Here is an 11593-nt window from a genome sequence, read left to right on the forward strand (position 1 = left end):
TTCTGGGATTAAAGCCTATCCCCACCATCCCCACCTGTTCCTAACCCATACATCTTGGGCCATTACAAAGAAGGGTATCCACACGGGGCAGTTTGAATGGAGCTCCACAAAGTGTCGGGATGTACCTTCTGCTGGATGATCCCAGGTAATTTCAGGCAGCTGTGGAAGGAGAGCCTCACTCCTAAAAAGGAAAAGGACACCTGACTCCTCAGTTCAAATATCATACGGTGGCCATTCCAATTGCATGTGGCTGCTAGGCACTGGCTTGTCTTCATGGGGCTGGCAGGGGATGGTCAACAAGATTCTTCTCCTTTTGGCCCACTGACCTCCTCCAAAGACAGATCACCCATCCCATTCTAGCACAACCAACATTCTTCTCATTTCCCTGGGGCAGGGCATAATGAGTCACCATCTCTTGTTTTTCTAATAAATTATTATGGTACAAACTTCTTTCTTGATTCTTAAGAGATTTTTTTTTTTAACTAAGCTCTTGTAAATGAAACATCTTAATTTCTGGAACTAGTGGTCTTCAAGGTCTGTTTAGGATTCAAAAACTATACACCCTTTCTAGTTTGTGCATTTGTAAGAAATGAATTCAAATTCTCCTGAGAACATCTAGAGGTCTTTGAGTTGCAGGGTGGCAATCATTTTCTATAAAGGGCCAGGTAGTAATATGTTGGGATTTGTAGGCCATACACAGCCTTTGTCACATAGTTGTGTTTTTTGCTTTTAAACAACTCATGTTAGAGGGAGAAACGAGTTCAAGGCATTTCTTTGTTTGTCTATTTTGAGTCCAAATCAATTAAGAATTTTATACCTACTGAGAAGTGGGCATCTGGACTGGTAAGTTTTCTATTTCTTAATTTATGTTTGATCCATGGCTGAAATCATAGTATTTAAGCTATAATAAGCTCTTTCTCAACCACAAAAATATTTAGACCTATAATTCAAAAAAGCCTTTAAATATCATTGTGTGAGTGTATATTTTCGTACCTCTAAGTGATATTAAATTAGATTATAAAATATCTTAAAGGAGCTCTATTCTGATTGACTTACAGAGATAAGTGCTTATGTAATTGAATATTCCTAAAATTCCCAGCAATGTTGGAAATTAAAGTTCCAATAATTTCCATGTGCCACAAAGGGGGCATTCTTAATGAAACTAACACAAGTGTTTTAGGAATTCAAGTTCACATAATTTGGATAAATATTTTGCAAATGAGACTAATTTAATGTTGTTGGTTTAATAAAAATAGTTATGTCTTCTCTGAGTTAAATGACCTATTTATTCTACTTGGGTATGTTCTTCCTAAACTTATACAGGTGTAATGATTAAATAAACTAACATTACTTCTACTAAATGTTTAAGGCTATGAAAGATGCCAATCTGTGTTTAAACAAATTAAATCTTTATTCTAACAAACTTTATTTCAACAGTAGTTATATTTTGTAGTATGTCAGCTTGAAGATAGTTTCCAAGATCTTTGGGTAACTTAAAATTTTGGACTGATACAAAATGAGTACATTAATGGATATTCATTAGATACTTAGGTCATCTCTAAGTAAGATGAAAAACTGAAACATTAATTATCAAGTGTAATTTTAAGTTTATACACTTTTTGTTATTTATGTTTATAGAGTATAGAGAATCTCTATATTTGGAGTTTGTTAATGAATATGTTCATTTTTGCCACTTTGAAAACCTGTATTATAAAAGACGTGTATAGATATAGGATGATACAGAGAGCTCAAGAAAAGGGAATTTTATTTGTCCTGATCAGTGCTACCTATGGTTTGGTGAGTTATTTCTAAGATTTTCAAAAAAAGGTTTAGTATCAAATATTATACTGATGCAAAACTGGAATTCAGTTTCTCTCTTTTAAAAGAATGAGATTATCTCGGATTATTGGTCAAGTCTCAATTATAAAAGTTTATTTTTTACCTTCTGTGCAATCTGCCTAGATGACAAGGATTTTATGTCCTACAGAATAACTTCCATGGTTTATGTTTACTTTATTTCATTGACTATTTATGAAAACAAAGACTTCTCACATAGACAAAATCTCAGATTCTTTCCAATAATGTTACCTCCTGTATTAGCGACGGATCTTCAGATAAACAGAATCAATAGAATATATAGAGATATATAGAAAGAGATTTATTATAGGGACTGACTCACATAATTATGGAGGCTGAGAAGTTCCACAATATGCTGTCTGCACACTGGAGGCCCAGGAAAGCCCAATTACCACTTAACAGTTCCAGCCTTAGCTCCAAGACTTGAGAACCAGGGAAGCCAATGGTGTAAGTCCCAGTCCCAGTTTGAGTCCAAAGGCCACAGAACCGGAAGCTCCAGTCTCCTAGAGCAGGAGAAGATGAATGTTCCAGCCCAAGCAGACAGAAGATTTATCCTTCTTCTACCTTTTCATTCTGTTCAAACCCTCAACAAATTGTATGATTCCCATCTACATTGGTGTGAGTGATCTTTGCTTCATCTACGAATTCAAAGGCTGATCTCTCCCAGAAATACCCTTACAAACACACCTAGACAGAATGTTTTCCCAGCTGTCTATGAATCTCTCAGCTAGTCCAGCTGACACATACAATTAACCATTAGAGTTCCTATGTTTACTTTTATAATTTTTATTGTCACTTTGGTTTAATAGGTAGGTATCCCATGATTGTAGATAGCTAACTATCCTGTGATCTCATCTTAATCAAGTATTCAAATTTTCTGATAATTTTTTATATTTTGCCTTTCCAAAATCACAACCTAAATCATATCTCTTGCATCTTAAAACTATCTTTGAGATTCCCCAGATAAATCACAAAGGATTTGTTTGCTCATCATGTGAAAAGAGAGGTACTAGAAATAATTAGGTTTATTTGAATATTACTATTAATGAGTTGCATGGGAAGAGATGTTAAATGTGAAGAGATGCTCAGCCTTCCCTAGGTTAAATTTGTATGACTAAATGTTTATGAATATAAGGATTTCAGTAATTATGTGCTGTTTGGGAAGTTCTTAAAGAATTGCCAGTGCCCTCACCATTGATGATATGTTTCTGTTTATTTGAATCTTGGCACTGCTTTGCCTGTTATTAAACAATGACAGTCTAGTGTTATCAATCATAATTTCAGTTATTTTTTAACATGTGACTTGTCACAACTTTACTTCTTTAATTTGAATCTAGCATCTTCAAAGCCCGTGGTTTTCAAATAGAGATTTTTATATTACTTACCTGTAGTGTTTTACTAACATACACAGATATTTAAGACCTACTCAGACTTACTGAGTCTCTTTACTTGATATATATTATTGATGTATTCTTACTATATTCTTTGCATATTCATGGTCTATTATGTCAGGATTATTATATATCTCAATATTTTTTTCTCTAAGATGATTATGTTCATCTGTTTTCATTAATTAGGTGTACTATTCATGAAAATAGGTCTAATTATTATGTTTATGAATATTTTATCTAAATCATTTTAAATTGAAATTATTCTCTTATTTTGCATGCCACAGAAACAATCAAAAATATTTGTACACTTGCATTATTCTTGTAATGAACTCTTATCAGGTCTTTCACTTTTGGAACTTACCAGTGTGAAGGTAACCACAGCAGTTTTAAGTCTCTTGTCACCTACAGGTAGTTTTCTGTTTCACTCTGATGTTTCCTTGAAAGTGCAACAAGCTAGAGGCCAGAAAGAGACTTATTTGTCCTGGTCCAAGTCAGCTATGGTTTGATAATGTTGCTTCATCTTCAACAAAGAAGGATCATCTCAGAGCCTGTGAAAAGGACTATACCAGGTACTTCAAAGTACAGGCTTCTGGCATCACTTACACAACTTTGAGACCATATCCATGGAATGAATGAGGATTTCCAGAACATAGTTCAGAAATAGATGGGCTCATGAGACTGCTAACCCAAGATCAAGTGAAACAAGAATTAATTACATAGGACTGATGACCTGATCAGAGATAGCTGTGGGGGTTTTTCTGGAATATTATTGCTATTTTAATGTTCTATTTTCTGGATATATAAAGAAGTTCCTTTGCTTTCCTCATAAGCTACCTCGAACTCATAACAATCAAGTAGACTCAGCTTTTATAAACCAAAATGAAACATTTGTAGATGATAATATATGTTATTCCATATGACTAACCCCTCCAGAATTTGGAATCTCTTATTTAATATTCTTGTTCAATATAGTTATTTCCACAGATTAATTAAGAATCTGTCCTACTTGTTATCAGGACAAAATGAGAAACATTGATTGTGCAACCAAGGCTTTGTCTGGAATGTCATGTTGGAAAATGATGTTCATTTAATCAAATATGACCAAACACTTTTAAGAAACTAAGGTTGATTTTATGGAGGTAATGCTTTGCAAAGCCCTTTTGGGACTGGCCTGGTATCTGGTTTATAAGTTCTCAGCCTTACAGGTAGGTAATAATGAAGGTCACTTCTTGGCAGACCCAGGAACTATAGTTTATTTTGTGGACCTCCAGAAGGGAGGATTTATAAGAACTACAGGTAAGATATAAGAGCAAATTCTTGGCTTGGCTTCCTATCCTCAAGAGGCTTTTCAAAGACTAATCTGAAATTCCTTCTGAAAACATTAATCAAAGAAACTTAAGAAGGCCTACATGGTAAATTACTATTCTTGCTACGCAATGTAAATAATCAGGCCAAATCTAAGGAGACTAGCCTTATTTTATTATCAAAAATAATCTTTCTTTGAGATTATTATAAACTGAAAATTTTAAGCCACCCATCTACCAAATGGACTCTCTGTTGGCCAAGAAGACCTGAAAGAAACCTGAAAAACTGAGTTCCTGCCATAATGGGAAGGGAGGTTGGGCACACCTCAATATACCCCCACCTTTTGGCCTTTAGGCACAACAACTGATGAGCACTAATGTTTAAATAGAGATTATAAGACAGACAAAACAGACTCTTAGATGCAATAAAGTACCAAATTATAAACTAGACCTAAGGCCATGCCAGACAGGAGTTAATTCACATCTGTAGCCATCAGTCTTGCTAAGCAGGTCATATTGTGGCTGATTCTGACATAGCATTTTTATTTTAACTTGAACATTTCATTCTGCTAACTTCAGGATTTTAGACAACATTTCATTTCTTTAACCAATTGCAGATTAAAGAATCTCTGAATCCACCTATGACTCGTATGCCCCCGCTTCAAGATATGCTACCTCTTCAGGCCAAACCAATGTATACCCTCCATGTGTTGCTTTACAGCTTTGCCTGCAATTCTTGCCTTCCTGAAATGTATAAAATCAAATTGTAATCTGACCACCTCAGGTACCCATTCTCAGGAATCTTGAGACTGTATTTCCCTGGACTATAGTTGTTCATATAGGTCCAGGATAAATCTCTTTAAACTGTTTGTTTTTTCCATTAACATTATCTTTGATGGTATGACTTCAGAGAGATGAGAGAAATTTTGTGTTTTGGAAAACTGTGCATAGTCTATAGCATACCATTCTAGGTTATCAGATTCTTGCCTGGTTCACTGTCTTTGAAGCATGTTGCACATATTTGCACAATTTGTATATTGTAGGTAACTGATGGATATGCAAACTGGCTTGTCTAATGGCTACTTAATTGACTTCTCCCCACTCTGGAAAAATCAGTTTTGTTATCTATCTGCAAATTATACTGGAACCTGTTACTTGCTCAAAATGTCAACACACACCAGCTTTTTAATTCTTTTAGTTTCCTTCACTATCTGGCTATAACCCTCTCCACTATCTTTTTCAATTTTTTTCTCTCCTGCCTGACTCAGCACCACTAATAACTAAAACTCAACTGCCCAGATGATTATCACGGCTCTGGTTTGCCTTGCAATTGGCCATTCCTCCACTCTCCACCCCCCTGCTTCCCACTTTCCACCCCCTGTCTGAAGAAGATGGCTCGGTATTAACCTTGATGGACTCACCATCACAGCAGATCATGCAAGGGCCAGATTTCTCTTTAGATAAGCCTCTATCTGGGCCACTAGGGAATTCCTTTGACAGGCTTGAGTCATGCACGTCCTTAAATGAGAGGAAACCAAGACTGTAGATAACTTCACCAACAGCAATGATATTCAAGATATTCAGCAGGCAGTGCCACATAACCAGAAGACTTTCCTCTACCACATTGGAAATCCACTTGGAATCCAGTGGATTGGTTACCCTCCCATTTACCTTTCACAATATATTTTAATTCTTGGCATGTCTCCTTTAAAGGGCCTGATCTCCAGGAACCTAAAACAACTGACCTTTGCCACCACCTTTCGACAGATGGTTCAACTAATTTTACAGAACCAATGCCAATGAGAATCTTGGGGAGACAAGTTCTTAGACACCACTTTGCCCCATATAGGAAGTTTATGATCATTTATGAGTTCTTTGTTGACAAATGATATTTATCCTTTTGAAAAAGAGGGAAGACTGACAATGTTGAAATTTTTCTGAGCAGTGTGTTCCATAAAGCAGAGAAGATTGGGAAAATTGAGAAATCTCCCCTATCCCTTTGTATATTGAGAAACCACCAACCAGCAAAGGATCCTTTTGCTGTCCTGCATTCTGAGGTAAGTTCTGCCTCCACCTTTCCTCGGTGACTTAGCCGAGACCCATTTCCATTCTTCCTCCTGATTCTGATAAGACTTGCTGATGACTCTTTTTTCTGCCTCTATAAAGCTCAAGGCTCCCCTTCCTTTTCTTCAACAAGTTCCTCATTGAGGAAGTTCTCCCTGTTGCAATAGCCTGAATAAAATCATCACCTAATTGTCATGTGCATTTTATCTTTCACATTGAATACAGAAGGACCATTTCAAACCAAATAAGAGTATCATGATAGAGAACAACAGCACTGCTCATGTGTGAGTCAGAAAGCATCCTATGCTTATATATCCTTTCCTAAATATGAACTTTTGTTTTCCATTGAGTTAATTTTTATTTATTTCTGTACTTGGCTTTCTTTAAATCTCTGGCTTGATCTGACCACATTCTCCAACTCTGTAAAAGGCTTTTCTGTACAGTTTCCCTTTTATTCTTTTCTTGGAAACTTCTCCCCTAAGGTTCTTCATCCTCCAGTTCCAGTCTATACTGGTTGCCCTTTTTGTCTACTATAAAGTGCTAATTATAGGAATTTCCTCTTTTCTAAATTGGGATCTCATTTTACTTTTTCTTCTGTGACTCACTGATTTTCATGGAGCATATCCTACAGAATCTCCCTGAGAAAAGACATGTAGAAGACTCATTTTTTTAGACCATCTGGTAAGCTCTGTATTCTACTCTCATACTTGATTGACAGTTTGACTGGGTATAAAAGTCTAGGTTCATGATCATTTTATTTCACAATTTAGAAGGTATTGCTTCATTTTTGTCTAGTCCCAAGTGTTACTATTGAAAAATCTCCTTTTGATTCCTGTTCCTTTGTATGTGAATATTATTATTGCTGTTATTATCATCATCATCATCTGTGGAAGCTTTCAGAATCTTCTCTTTATCCTAATTGTATTGATATTTTATGTAAATGTGCCTTGGTATGGCTTTTATTAGTAGTAGTATTGCTTTTGTGGGTAGTTGGAAATTTTGTTGAGTGGTTATAGTCAGTATCTTTCAGTTTGGAAAAGTTTTTCTTGCATTATTTCTTCTATTTTCTCTGAACTCCTCATCTGAAATTTCTGTTATACAGATGTTAGAACCTCAGAATAATCATATTTTCTTATACTTGTTCCTATTGTCTAATTCTTTATCTTTTTGTTCTATTTATCTCAATTTAACAAGAGCTACAAATAGCTCTTGTTAAAGAGGTATGTGACCTCAACTGTATCCTCTAATCTTTCCATTATATTTATTTCTGCCATATTTCTGATATCCAAGGGCTGTTTATTGTTCTTTATATGTCCCCTCTTTATACAGCTGGATTGTATTTTTTTACTACTGGAATAAAAATATTTTCTTATCTCTCCGAAGATACTAATGATAGTTTTGTTTTAAGCTTTTCTCTGCTTTCTGCATCACCTCCTCTGTCATCTGTTGGTTCATTTAATGAGAGATTTTTCTCAAATACCAGTGATTCTTGGTAATTGATCCAAATTTAAAAGTGTGACAGCAAACCTAGGACTAGTAAGCCTATTGTCCGGGAAGAGCTTATTGACCGTAAGATCCCACTCTGAAGTTTTTGAGAAGGCCTGGTTATTTTGTAGGGAACCCCACAGGAGTAAACCTGGTTGTCATCCTTCTGAGATGCAAGCAGAAAAAAAAGGCAAGAGAAATTTCACACTTCTATGTGTTAAGTTCCACTTATTGTTTTCTTACCCCATGGCCTATTGCCCCTTCCGTCAGGTTTCCCTGATGTTACTAGGGCTGGTTCTTCCATGTTTCAATGTCTTCAAAAAGTAAAACTTGAATATTTTACTAGACCGAGGGAGGGGAGTCTCATTACTGTATGATATGGGGAAGTAGGTCTGAGGGTCTCAAGCTTATCCTTTTAAAGACATTTAACCAAACTGGTTTTCCACTTAGGTTCACACTTCTACCTTCAGAAGTACTTGGTGATTCCAGTTCCTGGCCTTTCTAGTATTCAGTTAAGCCAATTGTTACTTCTTATTTTATTTGTCTCTTACAGTTAGGTGTCAGCTTTCTCTGCTCTGTGACATCAATTCCCACGTGTTCATCTGCTTTTTGACTCCTAAAATTTGATTAATATCTCTAGTTATTAGTTGTCTTCTTTCTCGTCCTTTTGTCCTTGTAGGTTCTTTTTTAAAATATTCCTTTATTGTTACTCAGTGGGGCTTTAAAAATAAACAAAGACAAGCATCTGTATTAAATTTACCAGGTTTAATTAGTTTCTTGCTGATTGTTCGGTACTCTTTATATTTTCAAAGCTGTAATCTTTTTCCTGCCACATATTTTACAATTTTACCCTCAATGTGATATTTATCTTCTAATATTGAGTATAGTGTTTTTTGAAGTATAGAATTTTTTTTAATGTAGTGAGTCCTACCTATATTCTTCATGTTAAAATTTAAAAAGCTTTCTCCACATTGAAGTCAGATAAACATTTACCTACAGTGATTTCTAGTTCACTTATAAGTTGGTTATTTGGTCTGTAGCTTAACTAGTGCTATATTTTGAGTGAGGTATTTCAGAATAATTGCTTTTCAAACTTGGAATGTACTGCAACTTTAAATTGCCAGGTGCCATATTTTTATATTGAAAACCCACGTTCAATTTCAATAACATTACCCTTCAAATATGGAACCCTTGCTAGGACCTGTTGACTGAAGAAATGATGATGCGCTCATCTCCACTCGACCCCTGCATCCATATTCCAAAGAAAAGGCCAAACTATTTCTAAATATAAAAAGTTACAATAAAGTTCTAGTTTTTCTTGTGCTAAATACTTTAATCTTTTTAACACCCAAAGTTGCCAACTAAAGGTTTCTTATGGCCTCAAAGGTCATTTTCAATTCAATGAGAGAAGAACTCAGTCCACCAGGTCTATAATGTATAAGCCATTACCCATGGAGTGGGCATTTCACAGTTGCCAGAAACAAGATTTTTCTCCTAATTTTTTTTTAAAAAGGCACGTCAAAAGAATATATAAAATGTATGATTAAATCTTTATTGGATTATATCCTCCTGAGATCTAATAGACTCTGAAACAAACAGTTAAAATAATTGCAAAAGGAACAATGAAAATATATGCCTCAGACCACTTCAAATAAGGACCTGTCGACTGAAGACATTGTGATGCCCACATCTCCACTCTACCCCTGCATCCATATTCCAAAGAAAATGCCAAACTATTTCCAAATAGAAAAAGGACATATAAAAATAGGTCCAAATAAGGACAGTGGAGATGCTTAATTACTCACAGGTGAGTGAAACAAGCCCTTCAAATCTTTTCTAGGTGAAGAATAGTATAAATAACTAGTAAATAAAACTAATAAACCTAAGATCAGGAGCCATCTTCAATTAGTACCTCCTTTTTTTTTTTTTTTTTTTTTTTTTTTTTGAGACATCTTGCCCAGGCTGGCCTTGAACTCTTGGGCTCAAGCAATCCTCCCACCTCAGCCTCCTGAGTAGCTGGGAGTACAGGCACATACCACTGTACCTGGCAGTCCCTCACTTTTAATGATCTCACTTGAGACAATTCAATCATTGGAGATGTGACAAGAAGCATGTTTCACATCTATTTGAAGTACCGCAAAGCGGGGCATGCACTCTGAAAATCTGATAAATAGTAAAGTAAGAAAAAGGAAACCATAGAACAGTTTCCCAGGGGAACTTGTTGGGGCTCAGAAGCCAATAACCCCAAAATGTGGGGCTTTCACCTGCTGAACTGCAGAAGCCTCAAGATCTCTCCAACCATTCCTGCTGCCTGTTCTCAATCCTTCCTTTTCCAAAGCACAGGAGGAAGTCATTCTCTGAACTTCCCTTATCTGCCTCAAGTCCAGACTTGCCAAAAAGAAAAAAATGACCTCTGGTCCCTTACTGAATTTTGATTAACTCATCGCAGGAAGAAAGATCAAAGTCTGTCTACATATCTGGACAGATTTGTCACAAACCACTGTCTGCTCTGCAAGCCCAACAGACTTTGTCCAGGCCTTTGTACATTCTTCAAGACCGTTGAATTCCCCTAAAAATCATTTATTACCTCCCTAAAATAATCCACATTTCCCCATCTTCCTTTTCCCTAAGAAGGGTATGTCAGCATCTCTATCCCAATTCGTGGTGGGATAATCACTCTGTGATTCTCCCCTGTGCATGTTAATAAATTTGTGTGCCTTTTCTCCCGCTAATCTGCCTTTTGTCAGTTGATTTTCAGCAAACATTTAGAGGGTGAAGGCAAAGTTTTCTATTGGTCCCTAGAAACGGAAAGGCTTTGGTGCTTATCAGAAGTGCATGTACAGTAGAGTAAAAAGGTAATGAGAGAGGTTACCAAAAGTAAGGAGGAGACACCAAGTCTATGCTTCTGCTCTCTAAAGTCAGGAATTTACTTCTGGAACTAAAATTTAGCTATCAAGTGATGTAACTTTGAGTAGGAAGACCACAGGGATTGACATGCAAATAGGCACTCCAGGCAACCCACACTGCTTGAATTCTGCCCCTGGGAGGAATATTTGGGGTACTCATTTGCATTGCATGTTGGTTACCAAAAAGCACATTCAGTTCACAGCCATTTTAAAGCACTCCTTGTCAGATCCTGGGAACAAACTGAAGTGTCTAAACAAAGGTGACTGAGGCAGTGAGTTCTCTTCTGTAACTCATAGGAAGACAATATGCCTTCTATTGGGAACATAAATATTCTTTTTAGATGTGTATCACGCAAACGGAGCCAACCAACTCATGTGAATACCTATTATTAGAGAAAGAATCTCTGACCATATTGGCCCCTTTTCTGCCTTAATCTCTGGATTCCAATGTCTTGGAGCTTCCAACTGAGCTCCTCTTCTCAGAAAGAGTAGTATCTCACTCTTCTGTTTCTGCATCTGCTTTCTATTTATAAAGAGTGCACTTTGGGAAAAGAAATGTTTCTTTCTTCAATCCACAGCAATATTT

The 11593-nt window shown here is 36.2% G+C and overlaps 1 annotated feature.

The window, feature by feature from the left end:
- Positions 10820-11321: an enhancer, noted in NCBI's record as "NANOG hESC enhancer chr13:35390151-35390652 (GRCh37/hg19 assembly coordinates)". NCBI's record gives its function as "activates a minimal SCP1, AML or CMV promoter by ChIP-STARR-seq in naive H9 embryonic stem cells {active_cell/tissue: H9 hESC(naive)}" and the evidence as "EXISTENCE:reporter gene assay evidence [ECO:0000049][PMID:30033119]".

Source organism: Homo sapiens, chromosome 13, assembly GCF_000001405.40.
Source record: "Homo sapiens chromosome 13, GRCh38.p14 Primary Assembly".
In the NCBI taxonomy this organism is placed as follows: domain Eukaryota; kingdom Metazoa; phylum Chordata; class Mammalia; order Primates; family Hominidae; genus Homo; species Homo sapiens.